General features: G+C 41.3%; 1 protein-coding gene across 1 annotated transcript in view, besides 1 other annotated feature; it reads right to left on the bottom strand.

Annotated features, from left to right (window-relative positions):
* The window catches only part of ATF3 (activating transcription factor 3), a 55371-nt gene that overhangs the window by 26111 nt on the left and 9348 nt on the right, over positions 1 to 19912 (bottom strand). The window lies entirely within an intron of this gene.
* Positions 7922 to 8051: an enhancer, noted in NCBI's record as "active region_2509". NCBI's record gives its function as "activates an Ori minimal core promoter by ATAC-STARR-seq in GM12878 lymphoblastoid cells {active_cell/tissue: GM12878}" and the evidence as "EXISTENCE:reporter gene assay evidence [ECO:0000049][PMID:35858748]".

Below are 19912 nucleotides of genomic sequence, written 5' to 3'. Positions count from 1 at the left end.
CATGCTCTGTTTCTGTCTATAGACCCAGGCTCTCTTGTACCCCTGCCACCCTCATCTGAGACTCTTCTGCCCTGTGTCTCTGCTCTGTCTTCTCCCTCCTTGCTCTTTGACCCTTCCACCCTAATAAGGCAAAATGTTTAAGAGGTAGAGTGACTTTTTAAATCTGACACCAGTAGGACTCTGTTCATCTATAAAGGCACAAAATAAGCACAATGCCAACTCTGGAAAATTGTTAGGTTTTTTGTTTTCTTTTTTGTTTGTTTGTTTCATTCATAGTCTCTGAATATTTACTTTTTAGAAATAAGTTATTTGTATTTAATTTTAAAAGAAAAATAATGAATCCCAGCTAGAAAGTTGCAATAAAACATATTCTAGTCCTTGCCAGTCTTCCATTAAATTCATGAAGCATGTAGACTACCTGGAATGTGTCTTAGCCTCATGCATCATTTCCCCAGGCCTCATCTGCAGGGGCTGCTGGCCAGCTGCTCGTCAGCTCCACCGAGCCCCGAACTGGAGGAAACAGAATTTAACTTCACAGGGAGGGCTAGACCAGACAGAGGGAAGACTTATGCTCTGGGAGTGCTTAGACATTGGAACAGGCTACCAAGGCAGGTGGGTGATGATTCCTTCCAGGTGGATGTGTGTGACTCTGAGTGAGCACCCATGTGCAGGCAACTCAAGGACTAATTGGAAATAGGGTGCTATCTTACATGAAATCTGAGAGCTCAAGAATTCCAGGAGTGGCTACTCAACATCACAGATTGAACAGGGACTTTGGGGAGTTTTAAAGATCTACAGAAAAATAAAGACAGCCCTAGGGCTAAGAATGGTGACTGATATAAATAGAGACACAGACACATAGGTATGCTTACAATCATTTACAAAGTCTTAAGAACACTTTTTTTTTTTTTTTTTTTTTTTTTAAAGAGACAGGGTCTCTCTCTATCATCCAGGCTGGAGTGCATTAGGGCAATCATAGCTCACTGCAGCCTTGATCCCCTGGGCTCAAGTGATCCTCTAGCCTCAGCCTCCCAAATAGCTGGGACTACAGGCACATGCCACCATGCCTGGCTAATTTTTTAATTTTCTTTTTTTTAGTACAGATGATCTCACTTTGGTGCCCAGGCTGGTCTTGAATGCCTGGGCTCAAGCCACCCTCCCACTTCAGCCTCTCAAAGTGCTATGGTTACAGGTATGAGCCACCACACCCAAGAACACTTTTTTTTTTTATACTTTAAGTTTTAGGGTACATGTGCACAATGTGCAGTTTTGCTACATATGTATACATGTACCATGTTGATGTGCTGCACCCATTAACTCGTCATTTAGCATTAGGTATATCTCCTAATGCTATCCCTACCCCCTCCCCCCACCCCACAACAGTCTCCGGTGTGTGATGTTCCCCTTCCTGTGTCCATGTGTTCTCACTGTTCAATTCCCACCTATGAGTGAGAACATGCGGTGTTTGGTTTTTCATCCTTGTGATAGTTTGCTGAGAATGATGGTTTGCAGTTTCATCCATGTCCCTACAAAGGACATGAACTCTTCATTTTTTTATGGCTGCATAGTATTCCATGGTGTATATGGGCCACATTTTCTTAATCCAGTCTATCACTGTTGGACATTTGGGTTGGTTCCAAGTCTTTGCTATTGTGAATAGTGCCACAATAAACATACATGTGCATGTGTCTTTATAGCAGCATGATTTATATTCCTTTGGGTATATACCCAGTAATGGGATGGCTGGGTCAAATGGTATTTCTAGTTCTAGAACCCTGAGGAATTGCCACTCTTACCAAGAACACTTATCTTTAAATGCCATGTTATCAATGGATGTATCGGGCTGGCAGCACCCAAACCCACAGATCTGTTTTACTATCTCAAGAAGTGAGACCATCAGATACAAGGGCCTCTTGCTGTGATGTAATAGAAAGCACACAGCCCACCAAAGTAGTTGAACCTGAATGCAATCCGGCCCCTAGATCTGACCATTTGTTTTTGTGAAATTCAGAGGATAGAGGAAATGGTTAAACAATGCTGAGGATGTAATCAGCCAAATCCAGAATGAGGGAAATTCTACAGGACAAATTAACTCATTTCTTCAACAAATAAATAGCATGAAAAATAAGGAGAAAGAATATGGTAGGTTAAAATAGACTTAAGAGACATATCAACCAAATATAATGTGTGGACCTTGTTAGGATCCTGATTCTGTCTAACTGTAAAATGACATTTAAAGACATACTTTTGGAAACGTGAACATAGATTAGCTAATTCGATGATATTAGAAAATTATTATTAAATTTTTTAGATATGTTGTGATTATTATCTTAAAAGCCCTTATCAGTCTTTAAAAGGAATAAAATACTTAGATGAACGTTGAAAACATGAGTGAAATAAACCAGATTTTTAAAAATGCTGTATGATTTCACTTAGATGAAGTGTCTGGAATGGTCAAATTCAGAGACAGAAAGTAGAATAGTGGTTACTAGGGGCTAGGTTGAGGGAGAAATGAGGAGTTATTGTTTAATGGGTACAGAGTTTCAGTTTATGATGCAAATGTTCTGGAGACAGATGGTGGTGATGGTTGCACACAGTGTGAAGGTACTTAATGCCACTGAATTGTACACTTGCAAATGGTTAAAATAGAACATTTTATGTTATGTACTTTGTACCGCAATTTTAAAAGAAGTCCTTATCTGTTAGAAACATACTCTGCGATGCCTATGATTTGCTTTAAAATACTCCCACCCGGCGGAGGTTGCAGTGATCCGAGATCGCTCCATTGCACTCCACCCTGGGCAGCAGAATGAAACCCTTTCTCAAAAAATAAATAAATAAATAAAAATTTAAAAAATGCCCATCCTACCCTACCACCCCATAAAAGAAAAGTGTGCGGAAGGGGAGATGAGATAAGATTGGCAAAGTATTGATAATCGTTAAAGCTGGATTTCAGGTATATGAGGATTTATATGTGTACGTTTGCAAATTCCCATGATTAAAAAGTTTAAAAATGACTGCAGAATGCCTTACTATCAAGGATAAATGAATACAGTGCAAATCTGCCCACAAACGTAGCTGAGCCCAGCTGATTGGAAGAGTGCACACAATGGACTGGGGCGGGGGGGATGGAGAGCATTCCCCATGGCCAATCCTTGGCCATCGAGTGTCTAAAGAGCACTTACATTTTCAAAACTACATCCTGACCTCTGCTCTTGCCAGAACATCTCAATGACCTTCTCAACTGGTTTCCTGAGCTTCTGGATTATATTTTTCCCACAGACATAAGCCAAGATATCACTTTAGATTTTCTCCCTTGCAAGAGGAGCCTGGTGGCAGTTGTTGAATATAGTTGAGGAACAGAATGTCACAGGCTGGCAAGAACAGTCAGGAGAGGACCTCTCTGTCTAAGGAGCCTGGGGAGACTGCGGTGCAGGAGGCTCCGTTAGGAAGATGGGTCTTAACACATGCCCTTAAGAAGGTGGGGAAAAGCATTCCAAGTAGAGGATCAGAATATGCAAAGATATGGAAGCATAAAGGAGTATGTATCTCTCCAGAAAGGGAGAGCAGCCACATGTCCCTGGTACAGGATACAGGGGAAGAGGCGGCTGAAAAAGTTGGGATCAGATGGTGGACGGTCTTGTGTGTATTGCTATGAATTGTATTCTTTCAACAAACTGAGAGGCTACCAAGAGCCATGTTCTTTGCAAAGATGCACAAGAAACCAGGCACATGATAAAGGAATATTTTTCACTTCTGTGAGGTCTTTCCTCCTCATCTAAGTGGTTGGCGCCCTTACCTTATAGTAAGAGCCATGAAAGTACATTATCCTGCTTCCCTAATGCTGCCCATATCCAACGCTAACTCGGTAAGTCTTTCAACAGGAGACCCATTAAGCTTATATTACCATTCAAAGTGGTGCCTGGGAAATGTGCAATTTCTGATGGCACAATAATACAGATGGCCGTTGCAAAATGAGTATCCGCATTTATGGCTCTGTGTTCACACTGAATTCAATTTTTGAGTATTTCCACCTGTTACGTTTTAAAAATTGAAGTAATATATGCACGAGATAAAAGAAATCAGATTATAAGGAAGTGTTTATACTGAAAACTAGCAGGGCTCACCCCACACACATGCCACCAACCAGAGACTACTACCTTTAACGACCTCTTTTAAAAATTATTTGGATGGTGAACTTCCTAACTCCAAAAAGTATGCTTATGTGACATTTTTTTTTTGCAGTTTTTAAAAGGATTTATTTGACAAGTTTCACTTAGCGCAATATACCTAAAAGGAAATCACAATACAATGAAAGATTTAAATCAGGGCCTCAGAATTTCATACAAACACCAAGACCAAAATCCTAAGTATTGGTATTGTGTCTCAAATTTTTCCCATTAACTTAAAAAAAAAAAAGCTTAAACTTACGTGCCTTACAGATTATTAAATGAAACTAGAATTAACAAACATGCCAAAATGTTTCACTTTTAATTGTAGACACAGTTCCTATATTGTTTTACAAAAAAATAAAAGCATGTCTTTCAACATGCAACCAAACAGTGTTCAATGTAACATGGCAAAGGGCAACATTTAACATAATTCAACTGCTTTTACCTAAATACACTTACTGCTTAAGTACATCCTATAACTAACTTGAGAAAAGCTGGAACTTAAGTTTAACAGTTATAGTTTACTCAGCTTCACTGTTACATCCTAGATGAGTATTCTATTAAAAAATACTGGGCCTTAAGTCTTCATAACAATCCTGATATCCACTTAGAGAGTAATCATAAATCACAAGCTTGCATTGCAGAAACGTTAAACTGAAGTTTTGTTTTTTCCTTAAAAAAAAAAAAAAAAAGTTGACCAAGAGTCAGTGATCAGGACCGATCAATTAGCTTATGTGACTTTTTAAAAACAGTTTCTTGGTCAATTTAAGACATTCTTTTTTTCTTCTTCTTTTTCTTTCTTTTTTTTTTTGAGACGGTGTCTCACTCTTGTTGTGCAAGCTGGAGTGCAGTGGTGCAATCTTGGCTCACTGCCACCTCCACCTTCCTGGGGTCAAGCGATTCTCCTGCCTCAGCCTCCCAAATGGCTGGGATTACAGGTGCTCTTTGGACTCACCTCTATAAAATTGAACATAATCTCTTATTCCTTTCCCCCAACTTTTTTATTTATAATTTAGTTCTTCTATGGGTTCCCTCTGTACACTTATATGATATACTTAACCTTCTATTTCTTCCTCCATCTAGAAAGTAACTTTTGACTCCCTAGTACATTAGCTGAGGATATCAGCACAGTTCCCTTCTGTCTCTCCCTTGCTCCCATTATCTGCTATTTGTACCTTTAATTTTGCATCAAGAATGAAAACATTTACAATGAGCTCTGTTTCCATTCTCATGTCTTCCTTGCTTTGTGGGTAGGTTGATTTTAAGAGTGGAGAGCTAATAGACAAGGTTTGCATTATTATGACTGTGTCAACCCGGGAGTGCTGTGATGCCGAGTGTGCTAGGATCACATTTCTCCACCCGGCCACAGTCACCACTCATGGCCACTTCAAGGAGAATGTGCCTAGTGAAAGCAGAAAAACAGACTCTCTCTCATGACCTGGGTTCAAATGTTCAAAGCGATGCTATATTTTAGATGGCTTCAGATTAGAAGAATAATTTTATTTAAAAATATAAATATGTCTTCATATTCACACAAAAAAGCTATATACATGTATTACTTATATTTTTGAAAAGGAAGTTATTGCCAAGTATGAAGGCGACTAAAATATGGCATCATTTTGAGCATTTGAAGGAGTGATTATGTGGATGGTGGAGGAAGAAAGCAAAATTCGAAATGTCCAAAATAAGAAAGAAATAGATAATGTCCAAATGGAAAAAATCAGGAAATGAGCAGTATACACACATGATTTATAAATATGGAGAAGATACAGTGAAAAGAATTGAAAGCAATTGCCTTCAGGGAGTGGGAATCAGGTGTGGGGTTGCATGAGCTGGGAGACTGTTTTTTTGTTGTTGTGGTTGTTGTTTTTTCATTATAAGCCTTATAGTATTGTTAGAGTTTTTAAACTCTGTACATGTATTACTTTGATAAAAAGTAAATTTAAATTTAAAAAGAGAGTAACTGTCCTTCTCATCCTACCCACAAGGTAATTACTGCTGCCCCAATCTGATAGGCATGAGGCGCTAAAAAGAGACTCCAAAGCTCTTTGTGTGAAATGAATTTTGTGTCCCGGTGGTGACACCCTAGGGTGACGAGATGTGATTCTTTATTGGTGGACACAATGTCAGCAAACCTGTCTTCACTCTTGAGCCAACTGGTTCTACCTTTTCCCTGGTGGTTGCTGGTGGAAACATGCCGGGTTAGGGCTGTTTCTGAGCAGGGTGGGGAGTGGAGAACGTGCAGTTTCAATTAATCCCCTTGTTTTCATCCAATCCACACCCTGCCGGGAGTCTCCTAGTCCTAAGCCTCTTCTGTTGGGTTTCAATGTCTCCTTAAAACAAGCTTCTCAAGGAGAGAGGGATAGACACCTGGCTGCAGGGGTAGAAGAAGCTACCGAGGAAAGCAAAATTGAGTCAGACTTAATGGCTAATTTTCCCTGGTCTCAACATTCTCCCTCTCACTCACCTCCCATAATCGCTGTCACCCCACATGCTGAGTCTCACAGGGGTCTACAGAGGGAATGAAACCCGCCCCCACCCCCGCCGCCCCAGCAGGTGCCTCGCTTGCACTGCTGCATTGCTAAACTAAGTACAGGCACCGTATCCCACACTCCCCATTTCCCACAATTCTGTTGACATCTCTTGTCTGCTGTTATCTGTCTTCCTGTCCTGTCTGTCCTTTAAGATAATTCATTTTTTAAATCCCTGCAGAGTTATTTGCAGGATACTTGGGACGAAAGGCAGGAGATACACACATATGTATGAGTGAGTGAATGAACGGTTAATGCTTCATTTTAACTGGAGTTACAACTGAAGTTCCATTTGAAAGGCTGGATTTTATTTCAATGGAAAGGCTGGATTTTATTTACTGTTTTCTGCCCTGTGTTTTAAGTTCATATTCTGGGGTATTTCCGTGTTAGCAAAACTTTGTTCCTTGACCAATGGCAGCTTCCCTGAGTCCAGCCTGTGGGCTTCTAAGCATGTGGGTTGGTCACAAGAGGTACAGACTAGAGATTGTGGTTTGCGTCACATAACCCACCCCCATGGCAGCAATCCTGACTTCTGCAAAAGCCCACTCACAAGTCAGTTGTTTGGAATGCAAAACATATTTTCCCATAGAAACAATATCATAAAGGAATATTTTAGTTCTCAGGTCAGCTTTCCATAAAGTCTGTCTAATGCAGATAAAAACTCATAGGTACAAATATTCTTCATTTATTAATGTATTCATCCCAAGCATTTATTGAACGCCAATTATGTATAATTTAAGCACGGTATTATTATTGTAGGATTCTATCAAACACGGTCTTTTAAATACATCACTTTCCTCTATTTTTTAGCTTCCATTGTTTTCAACTTGGAAGCTCTTCTCCGAAACGTAATCTTCTTCTCCCGCCTTCCCTCTAACTCACCCATTCCACTTTAAGAGAAAAAAGCAAAACTTGTGTCAGAGTTGGTGAAAATGTTCATTCGTCAGAGACAGAAAGTCCCCAGAGCTTCTCTGCACCTGGAGGGCTCCTCTGCCCTGCGGAGGGCCCAGCCCAGCGTCACTTTCACAGTAAGAAGCTGCTCATTGTACTTTCCCCAGGGCCCTGCAGGGACTTGGGTGAAACTGAGAATTGGCTCCCCATCAATTACCTTTGGGATTCTTAAGGTTGCAGCACTGACCTGATCAAAAAGTCACTTTTTAAGGCTTAGCGTGATAACTGTTGGTTATTTTTTGCCTTCCCATAAAATTCAAAGGTAACTGGGGCATGTTGCCAGCTCAGCACTTCACATGTTTATTTTCTCCCACGTCAATTCATGTCTGGCTTCCAGAGGGCTCATGCTGTCACTCTTGAGGCATGGATGACAGCTACTTTGTGGTGGAGATTGGAAATTCTCACCAAATGAAGTTCTTTGGCACTTTCTCCAAAGTTATTCAGGGCAGGAATATTATTCAAGATGGCAAACTCATACCGATGTAGTCATTCATTCATTCACCGAATACTCCTTTAGTGCTCACTGCATGCCAGGCATTGCTCTTGGTGCTGAAGATGCCCCATGGAGTCACTGCTACGTCATTAACTCTGCACTTTGAGCAGCAAAGAGGAAGAAAGTGCCATGTCCTAAGAAGAGTATTCCCTCCCACTGGCTTGCCCCAAATAAAAATTCACCAGCTTAGCAGAAAGGGAGAAAGGGGAGAGGGAGACATAGGGGAGCTGCCTGTGTGTGTCCTCCTTCCCCAGTCAAGCTCTGGGTCAAGAGATAATAGAAACTTCATGACAAATTAGGGAACCCCAGGATGGAGGTGCCCTGAGCCCCCTTCCACAGGTAACTTCCCCCAGAATCCTGTGTGTGAAGGTAGAAGAGGCATGGCTGAGTGAGGCATCCAGGCTGAGGACAGACTCACAGTCTGGTGCAAAAAAAGGAGCCAGGACCTCCCCTGCCCACGGGCAGGACCCCAGAGGGTTGAGAGGGGCTGGAGGACCCAACAATTTTGGGAAAAGGAGAATGCCAAGGCCACTGGAGACCACAACATATCCTGGGTCATTTGGGAGGAAGTCAGGAGGATGGGTGCCAATGACTAAAGGCCCGGGGAACCTCACACCTCAACAAAGCCACTGTGGACAAAGAGCAACAACCATGGAGCAGGTGCCTCTCTCTCTTGGCACCAGGGCAAAAGTAACCCTCATTACATGCATACACACACACACACACCTAGAACTGAGACCCCTCCAGGAAGAATGGGAGAAAATCTGCCTAGGTCGATAACCAGAAATGATCCTGTAACCCTTCATTTGGCTGAGTTTATCTGAAGAAGACTCTGTTTTCTGTGACAGAGGGAGGGTTCAGAAACTAAGAATTACAAAATATAATCGATTACAGTTTTGCACACATGAATATGTGGCCTATGAAACTTGCTCCTGCTTCACACACAGATAAATCTTTAAAACCACATGTCTTCATAAATTCTCCGGGAAAACAGAGGCAAGCCCCTACATCAGATGGGGTGGTTTGAGGTGGCCCCTCCACAGAGAGCTCCTCTGATGGTGAAGCCTGAAGGAGAAGGTGCCAGCCATGCAGAGAATCCTAAGAAGAGGGCTCTAGGCAGAGGCAACAGCACCAGCCAAGGTCCTGAGGCAGGAAGGGATTCAGCTGTTTGATGAACTGAAGGAAGTTCGCCAGGACTGGGCACGGGGGCAAGGCAGAGGAAGCCAGGCTGAGTCTGGAGAGGTCGACAGGTAGGAGGCTCCAGCAGCGCCTTCACGTCCCCTGGGCTCAGCAGCCCCAGAGCTGCCACACACAGGAGCCCCGCTCACCTTTCACCCCCCAGCTCTGTTAGTAATCCTTTCTCTCACCATCCTGTGGATCTGCCTCACTATTCAGGCACTTCTCTCTGTCCCCTTAGAGGCCCTCCCACCCCTCCGACACTCAGAACACATCTTATCTTGTAGGGTTTCTCTTCTCCTCCTTTTGGTATCTGACAGGTTGGAGAGGGGACACCATAAGGTGATCACAGGGCTGGAGAATGGGCAGCCACAGGGCTGTGTTTACCATGCAGATTTCTGAGTCTCTGTCCCAGGTATCCTCACACACAAAGCCTGCCTGGGGCCCTGCTATCTGAGTGACCAGAAAGTTCCCACAAAGGTTCCATCCAGGTGGCCCGGGAGCCGTACTTGGAGAGACTCCAGGTGAAAGAGAGAGGCCATGTTAGGCAGGAAGGGGAAAGTGAGGGACAACTTTATAAAGAATTTTAACTCCAGCATAGCATGATGATGAATTTTATGTGTCAGCTTGACTGGGCCATGGGGTGCCCAGTTATTTGGTCAAGCATGATTCTGGGTGTTTCTGTGAGGGCATTTTGGGTGACCTTAGCATTTAAACTGATGGATCAAGGGAAGCAGATCGTCCTCCCCCTTGTAGGTAGGCCTCATCCAGTTGTCTGAAGTCCTGAAGACAGCAAAAAGGCTGAGTAAAAGGTAACTCCTCCTGCCTGACTGCCTTTGAGCTGGGACATCAGTTTTTTCCTGCCTTTGGACTTGAATTGAAACATCAGCTCCTCCTGGGTCTTGAGCCTCCCAGCCTCAGACTGGAACTGCACCATTGGCTCCTCAAGCTTGCTGACTACAGATCTAGTGGCCCACCAACCTCCATAATTGCATGAGCCAAGTCCCTTACAATAAATCTCTTATACACATGCATCTTATTGGTTTTGTTTCCCTGGAGAACCCTGACTAACACAGGGAGTAACAGCTGTTTTCTGCTTTCAGGATGCTCAGAACTTTGTATTCCAGTGGGAGAAAATCTGTCCGGACGGTAAAAGTTGTTCATAAATACATATTGGTATAAGAAATCAAGAAGTGGTATGCAGCATAGGTCTCTTTGGGGGACTTTAAGAAATAATTATAGCTACTATTTACAAGTACTATGAGTACCCTGTGTGTGAGAGGTGATATTTTATCTCCTCCCCCTTGTAAATACTTATGTAACGTCTGGCTTTCTTGCGTTTCACCTACCATGAGGGCAGAGATACGGTCTGTTTTGGTCATCACTGTATCTGTGGGAGAGAGCCCAGGATATGGTAGATACTTGGTAAATACCTGTTGAATGCGTCAGTCTATGTATTTCTAATCTTTACAACAATGCCACATGGTAGATACTATGATTCCCATTTTAAAAAAAGGAAACTGATGCCCAGCGGGAGTGTTGTTATTCTCCGATTACTATGCCCCACCCCTTCCATCCACTTCCTGCCCTCCTCTGTGCCCTGAGGGGCTAAACTCTACAGACTTATAACCTGCACTGCTGGCTAGGGAAGGAGAGAGGTCAAGGTTGGGACCTCTGTTCCAGGGTTTTGTTCCGACAGTGGTCGTGTTTCTTCAGGGCCACAGCCCCTGTCAGTTGGCCCTTGTCCATGATGCCAGCTTTCAACAGGATCCAATAAAATATTCCCTCCTCTTGCCCTGTAGGCCTGGGTGGTGACAGCTTTCTGCAATTACTAGTTCCTCAGTGCTTCACCATCCCCTGTGGGTTCCTGTAATCCTGCCCAAGCCTCAGTTAATAGTCCCTTTGCTAAACTCTCCTCAGTTAAACCTGCTGTGTGTGCCATCAGTTTCCTGCTGGCATCTTGACTGATAAAGAGAAATGAAACTCGGGAGGCTGAAACAGGAGGATCACTTGAGCCCAGGGGTTCCAGAGTGTAGTGCACTATGAGCATGCCTGTGAACAGCCACTGCACCAGCCTGGGCAACATAGCGAGATCCCATCACTTAAAAAAAAACAGAGAGAGAAATTAGGTAACAAAGTCACACAGCTAAAAAGCAGTGGAGGCAGGCTTCAGACACTGAAGTGTCTAGCTATGAAGCCCATTTTCATTTTGTTATACCTCATATTCTTCTCTCAGAAACCAGTTAGGAGTGAGCCTGCCCCATGACAGCCTATGCTCTCCCCTAGAACATTCCATAACCCTGGCATTCTTTAGCGCTTTCCCTTTCCCTGGAGAGATGAAGGGTGGTACCATGGAAATAGGGGTCAGCCTTTTGCAACCCAAGAGACCTGGATTGGAATCCAAGCTCTGCTACTGGCTCTGCGACTCGGCAACAGCTTGACTTCTCTGAGCCTCTGTTTCTCGGTGTGTAAACTGAGAATTATACTTCAGCGGGAGCTAATGAAGATTAAGTAAGCAAATGTATTTCTATCAAGAGCTCAGTCAAGTTGGCCTTTCCCCTCCTTTCTCCTAAGTGCAGGTCTCATGGAAAGGCCGGAATACTTGCCTGAAATCACTCAGTCTCTGGTTTAAAAGTGCTGCTCAATCCCTCTGCAGGGAGAGATGTCAGGAGCTTTGACTGTTGAAAAAAACGCACAGGCATGTTTCAGAAGGTTACTACCAGAGTGCTCAGTGCAGGGGACGGAAGCCCAAGCCTTCTTTCAGGCATTATTTTACTGACTTTCTTGCGACATGGCAAAAGGTGAATCCCATGACCAGTGTGTGTTTTCTCCAGCACTAATGACTGTGACTAAAATAGAGCTTTGTGGGGGAGAACCCACACAGCCCTCCCCTTGGAGAAGTTCTGAAGGCTGCCCTGCTTTGCTTTGCCAGGGTGCATTGGGTTTGAGAGCCATTGGTTGGCGACTTCAGTCTCTTTATGAGCCTCAAGATGTGCAAAAGAAAATGCATTAATACGAGCTCACCAATACAGAATTTACAGAGGCTGGCCTGGTTCCTTCCTAAAAGGTGGTGCACAATGAAGGTTAACTTCTGAGGTGGGAAGGGTTGCCAGATAAAGTACGGAGCACCCAGTTAAGTGTGAATTCCAGATAAATCGCAAATATAAGTCTGTCCCCTTCAATGTTTGGGATATAGTACACTAAAAATTCTTTGTTTCTATTTGAAATTCATGCTTACCTGGGCCTGATGTATTTTCATTTGCTAAATTTTGCAATCCTGTAAGTGAGGGGAAGGGAGATGTTTCACTGGCTTACAAAACATTGTTTTCAAGCATTCTTCACACATTTCAGAAGCTTCATTTTACTCAGAAACCAATGTGCTTGTTATGAATTGCTTTTTTTATATTCATTAAAAGAAGACCCCAAATAGCATCCTCTTAACTGAGTTCTGATGTCTATTCCTCGAAAATAATAAAACTATATTTCCTTAAGAATATGCAATTATATCCTTTATCTAGAAGCCATGTATCTGAAAACTTCAAATATCAAAATGCTGGCAAGCTTTTATTATATCTGTGTGTAAGATATTTCACATGTATATATTAAGTATGTCTCTGGGTACTGAGTAATTATTTTAGGATTTTCATTTTATGAAAATCAAAATCACCATTGTATGGTTTGCATTTTCATAGTATGGACCATATTTTGTTTATGCTGTCTATTTCTCTTCAAACCATTAATTTTACGATAAAGTATAATTTTCTATTGCAGTGCAAGTGTCTAAGGAACCACAAACAGTTTTTGTATTTCAAATTCCATAAAACATTCTTCCATTGACACAAACAACGTCATCAACAACAAAATAAAACTCCTATGACACCCATAAGAAATGCCATGGGTTCATGCAGTTCACTCAGGGCACTGCTGAGCTTTTCTTACATATCTACTCAAAAAGGTCTTGGTTTTTTGACTTTCTGTCTCAAGCAGGTGCAGGGGAACAAACTAGGAATGTGGCTAGGACTTCCACTAAAGTCAGGTACACTGAGAGCATACGAGCAGAAACCCCACTGAGACACAAGACCAAGAACTCCAAGAGCCCTGCAGGGGCCGGCAGACCTGCGCACGCGCCAGCCCTTAGGCAGCACTGTGTTACTGAGTCACATAACCGTGTTGCATGTCCTCATGAAAACTTTAAATTATATCCAAGTCAAAAGTTTTGTCTTCCCATCCCTCTCTGGAAAAAGTACCACAGCACTGTAAAATATACTATTATATGGCCAGGTGCAGTGGCGCACGCCTGTCATCCCATCACTTTGGGAGGCCAAGTTGGGCAGATCACTTGAGGCCAGGAGTCCGAGACCAGCCTGCCCAACGTGGTGAAACCCTGTCTCTACTAAAAATACAAAAATTAGCCGGGCATGGTGGGGGGCACCTGTAATCCCAGCTATTCGGGAGACTGAGGTGGGAGAATCACTTGAACCCGGGAGGTGAAGGTTGCAGTAAGCTGAGATTGTGCCACTGCACTCCAGCCTGGGTGACAGAGCGAGACTCTGTCTCAAAATAAATAAATAAACAAACAAAATATATTACTACAGTTTTGGAAATCCTAGACAATGTCACAATTTTCTCAGAAAATTAGAGTGCTGCAAATGTGGGATAATTACTGGATTTTAATGTTTGTCCTCAGTAGTGAACACAGAGTGAAGAATGACTATCATATATTACATAAGAAAGTGAAGGCTGGGTATGGTGGTTCACGCCTGTAATCCCAGTGCTTTGGGAGGTGAAAACAGGTGGATCATCACTTGAACTCAGGAGTTCGAGACCAGCCTGGCCAACAGTCTCTACTAAAAATACAAAAATTAGCCTGGTGTGGTGGTATGCACCTGTAGTGCTACCTACTCAGGAGGCTGAGGTGTGAGGGTCACTTGGGCCTGGGAGGCGGAGGTTGCAGTGAGCAGAGATCGTGCCACTGCACGGGCAACAGAGCAAGACTCCATCTCAAAAAAAAAAAAAGTGGAAATTTGAAAGTAAACAGTAGTGAAAATGAAAGCATTCTTCCTCCCAATAGAGCTCACACTCTGTAGAGAAGAAGGATACAAGTAAGTAATTGTATCCATCAGTATAGCTTAAATTATGCTGTAGTAACAAACAACTCTACAACTGTTTCTTTCTTTCTTTTTTTTTGAGACGGAGTCTAGCTTTGTCACCAGGCTGGAATGCAATGGCTCGATCTCGGCTCACTGCAAGCTCCGCCTCCCAGGTTCAAGCCTGAGAGGCAAGATTCTCCTGCCTCAGCCTCCAGAGTAGCTGGGATTACAGGCACACAGCACCAGGCCCAGCTAAGTTTTTTTTTTTTTTTTAGTAGAGACGGGGTTTCACCATGTTAGCCAGGATGGTCTCGATCTCCTGACCTCATGATCCACCTGCCTCGGCCTCCCAAAGTGCTGGAATTACAGGCGTGAGCCACTGTGCCCAGTCTACAAATCTGTTTCTTAACCAAGATAGTTTATTTCTCATTCACCCTACTCCACATCGGCTGGGATCTGCTGTTTTTCTCAGAGCCCAGGCTAATGAAGCAGCCATCACATCTGGATACAGCATTGTTATTCTACCATGAGATACTCATTTTACAGAAGAGGAATCCTGGATTTAGGGTGATTACGTGACTTAACTAGGCAAGGGCAGAGCCAGCCCTAAAACCAAGGTCTTTTAACTCTTACACCAATGCGTCTTCTCTTCTACAGATAAAAGTTGGGCTGTGTACTAGGCTGACCGTTCCCCCAGAGGGACTGGGAGTAAACAAAGCTCCAGATTAAACTCCAAAGGTTCAGTCCTTCAGTTTTTGACATGTTAGCCATCATTCATTCACTCAGTTTACCATGTGTTGGCACTATTTTATGCACTGGGGATATGCTGGTAATAAAAAAATATATACTGCCCTGCTCTTTGTGGTGCTTAGAGTTTTATGATGGGGAAGGTACATGGAACTGAGTTTCCCAAGCTTGGAAAGGAAGGCTAAATAAAAAGGCTCCAGAAGTCTGGGAGCCATGCCTGTAATCCCAGCACTTTGGGAGGCTGAGGCAGGTGGATTGCCTGAGGTCAGGAGTTTGAGACCAGCCTGGCCTACATGGTGAAACCCCGTCTCTACTAAAAATACAAAAATTAACCAGGCATGGTGGTGCATGCCCGTAATCCCAGCTACTCGGGAGGCTGAGGCAGGAGAATCACTTGAACCTGGGAGGTGAAGGTTGCAGTGAGCTGAGATTGTGCCACTGCACTCCAGCCTGGGCAACAGAGTGAGACTCTGTCTCAAAAAAAAAAAAAAAAAAAAAAAGTCTCCAGAGAGCTGCCTGGGGCTCTAGCTCCTAGAAGTTGCTTGTCTAGGGGTGTGGAAGGACACAGACACAGCCTGGTGGTTGGGAATGAGTCCATGCCTGGGTCTGCTCTGTCCCTATCGTCACTGAGCAACAGTAACCCTGAAATGCCCCCAGAGACTCTGGTTCTGGGACGGGGAGCTGGAGGGCTGAGTGGACCACTGCAATAGTGGAGAAGAAGGAGGGATGAGCACCGAGTGAGGGAGAAAAAGACAGAAAACCAAACAAAACAAACATCACTTTCCCCTGAAATGAGCCTGCAAACTCAGCTTTCAAAATACATGAAGAAATCTAATGCTAAGGAAGACAGCCAACAAAGTGAATAGTCAGGACAAGATTCTACTCCCGGTTAAAGGTAGAAAAAAGAGCCAACTAAAAAAAACCTCAGAAATGATTAGTATAAACATTGAAATTTAAAATGCACCAGATAGAAAATTTCTGCCTGGATAAAGTTGAAGAAGGCATTAGTGAAGTGGAAAATGGTGCGGAGGAACACATCCAGAATACAGGCAAAGAAGAGAAAGTATTAAGAGACATGGAAGATTGATTGATCATATTGTACACTATAAATACGTATCATTTCATCTGTCAGTTAAAAAAGATTAAAGAGTTAAATGAATTTATCTACAAAGGGATAAAAATTAGTCTGACAGCAAGCAGCCTTCTCATAGATACCAACTCTAATGTAACAAAAATTCTGAAAGAAGAGAAAGGAGGAAATGACAGTGATGCAATATTTAAAGACATAATGGCTGAGAATTTTCTAGAAGTGAAGATAAATTGCAGCTGAATTGCAGAACACTATGAATAAAGAGATAATCATAAGTTAACAGGTATCACCTCACACATCAGAGTGACTATTATCCAGAAAAGATAGAAAATGTTGGTGAGGATGTGGAGAAAAGGAAACCCTTTCACACTGTTGGTGTGAATATAAATTGGAACAGCCATTATGAAAAACAGTATGGAGGTTCCTCAAAAAATTAAAAATAGAATTACCATATGATCCAGCAATCCAACTACTGAGTAATGTATTCAAAGGAAATGAAAACAGTATGTCAAAGAGATATCTGCACTTCAGGTTCATTGCAGCATTATTCAGAATAGCCAAGATATGGAATCAACCTAAGTGGCCATTAACAGATGAATGAATAGAGAAAATGTGGTATATGTACACAATGAAATATTATTCAGCTGTGAAAAAAGAAACAAATCCTGTCATTTGCCACAACATGGATGAATCTGGAGGACATTATGTTACATGACATATGCCAGGCAAGGAAAAACAAATACTACGTGATCTCACTCATATGTGGGAATTGAAAAAAGTTGATCTTACAGAAGCAGAGAGCAGAATGGTGGTTACCGAGAGCTGAGGCCGTGGTGGGGGTAGGATGGGGGTGGGGCTGGTGAGTTGAAGCGATGTTGGTCAAAGGATATAAGATTTCAGTTAGAAGGAATAAGTTTGAGATCTACTGTACCACATAGTGACTATAGTTAATAACAATATATTGTATTCTTGAAAAATGCTTAACAGAGTGAATGCTAAGTGTTTCCAGCACAAAAATGATAACTATGTGAGGTAATGTACACGTTAATTAGCTAGATTTAGTCATTCCATGTTATAATTTTACTTTAAAAATCACATTGAACACTATAAATATATATCATTTTATCTGTCAGTTAAAAAAAGGTTAAAGAGATAAATGAATTTACCTACAAAGGAATAAAAATTAGTCTGACAGCAGCCTTCTCATAGACATCAATAGATTCTAGGAGATAATAAGGGTAATATGTTCAAAGTGCAGAGGGAAAATAAATACCAGTCTCAAATTCTATACCCTGAAAAATAAAGAATTTCAGGCATCCAACGATGAAGAGAGTTTACCAACCACAGACTGTCACTTAAAGAACTACTAAAGAATATTTTATTTTGGGCCGGGCTCGGTGGCTCACGCCTGTAATCCCGGTACTTTGGGAGGCCAAGGCGGGTGGATTACGAGGTCAAGAGATGGAGACCATCCTGGCCAACGTGGTGAAACCCCGTCTCTACTAAAAATACAAAAAAAAAATCAGCCGGGTGTGATGGCACGTGCCTGTAATCCCATCTACTCGGGAGGCTGAGGTAGGAGAATCACTTGAACCCGGGAGGCGGAGGTTGCAGTGAGCCGAGATCACACCATTGCACTCCAGCCTGGGCGACAGAGCGAGACTCTGCCTCAAAAAAAAAAAAAAAAAAAAAAAAGAAAAGAAAAGAAAAGAATATTTTTTAATAACTTTTTTATCTTTAAAAACTTTAACTCTGGAATAAAAATAAGATGGGGAACAGGGTCCACATGTAATCAAAAAGTGCTGAGGTCCTTGCTGTGGTCAAAAGGACAAGTAGAGTTCTACTTAAGAAAAAAAATCAGTAAAAGCAAAATGAATAAACAAATAAAAACAGCACAATAAATAAGTAAAGTGTTCAACTTAAGAAACTAGGCAAGCACAATAGAGAAATCTAAACTAGAAATAAGAAAATAATATAAGAGAAGAATGAAAGAAATTATATTTAGGGAAGATGAATAAAACACAAAGTTAGTTTTTTGAAACAACTTACAGAAAAAGATCAACCCTGAGCTCAACCAATCAATAAAAATGAGAAAAACACAAACAGAAAGTGGCAATAAAAAGGGATAGAAATAGATACAGTGGAGATTTTAAAATACATAAAGAATACTATTAACTGCATCTGAATAAATATGGAAACTTAGGAAAAATAAATAATTTTCAAGAAAAAAATAAAATTTGGTAATTTATTCAGATAAAACCAGAACTAAGCCTTAGCTACTAAAGAAATTAAATTATTAATCAAAAGTTCTTCCATCTCCAAAGACATCAGGCCCAAACATTTACCAGATTTTTAAGAAATAGATAAGCCCTGCTTTAAACGACAAAAATTCTTTCAGAGGGTAGGAGGAAAAAGGAAGAGAATTTCCGAACTTATTTTTTGAGATATTAAAGCCAGACAGGGACAATCCAAATAAGGAAAATTATAACTTAATCTCATTTTTCATGTAGATACAAAATCTTAAAGAAAATATCTTGACCAAGTGGAATTTCATCTCAAGAATGAAAGAATAATTCAAGATTTGAAAACTTATTAAATTAACAAATTAAAAAGAAAGGCCTTTTTCCTTTATCTTTTATCTTTTTAGTATCTCAAGAAATGCAGAAAAGGCATTGACAGAATATAGCATTCATTCGTGGTTTTAAAAATCTTAGCAAACTAGGTATAGAAGGCAACTTTCCTTACCTGACAAAGGCTATACATCAAAACTCTACAAGCAAATATTATATTAATTGGTACTATTTTAGAGACATTTTCATTAAAGTCAGAAATTACAGAAGGCTATAAGTTATAAGCCTCTATTCAGCATTATACTGAAGTTCTTAACTGATGTAATATAAAACAATGGAAAAAGAGAAAGATTAGAGGCTGTTTTCGTTTGCTGAAAATGTGATTGTCTACATAAAGAAGTCAAGAACATTCACATACTCTTAGAACTAAAAACTGTCCAGCAAAGGTTGCTAGATACAAAAAACATGCAAAAATCAATAGCATTCTTAATAGTAATAACTAATTAGAAAATATAATTGAAAAAATCCCATTTATAATAGTAACAGAAATTACATGGCACCTAGAAATAAATTTGTTAAAAGGTATGAAAGACCTCAAAGAAGAAAACTATGAAAGTATTATTGAATAAAATACAAGAAGACCTAAATAAATGGAGAGAATTACTATGTTTATTGATTACAGTACTCAGTAATATAAAAATGTTAGTCATCTTGGTGGCACCTCTGGTGTCGTGGTATCATGCAAGATTCCCATAAAAATATTAGCCATCTCCATATTTATTTGTAGATTTGATGAAATTTTCATATTAAAAATCTTCAAAATGCGTGTGTGTGTGTGCACAATTCTTAAGAAGCTAATTCTAAAATTCATGTGAATGGGCCAGGAAGAGCCAAGAAAATTTGGAAGAAGAAGAAAATAGGGTAGCAGGACTTGTCTTGTTAGATATTTAGACTTATTGAAAAGATTGTGGTAGTACTGGCATAGGGAATAGAAATAGATTAATGGAACCGAACAAAAGCCCATAAATAACCTATATACACAAGGAAGCTCTGTACATGACTGAAATAGCCTCACAAAGCAATGGGAGGAAC

This window comes from Homo sapiens, chromosome 1 (assembly GCF_000001405.40).
Source record: "Homo sapiens chromosome 1, GRCh38.p14 Primary Assembly".
NCBI classification, from domain to species: domain Eukaryota; kingdom Metazoa; phylum Chordata; class Mammalia; order Primates; family Hominidae; genus Homo; species Homo sapiens.
The sequence above is the reverse complement of the archived record's forward strand: the minus strand, read 5'-3'. Positions and strand labels throughout refer to the sequence as shown.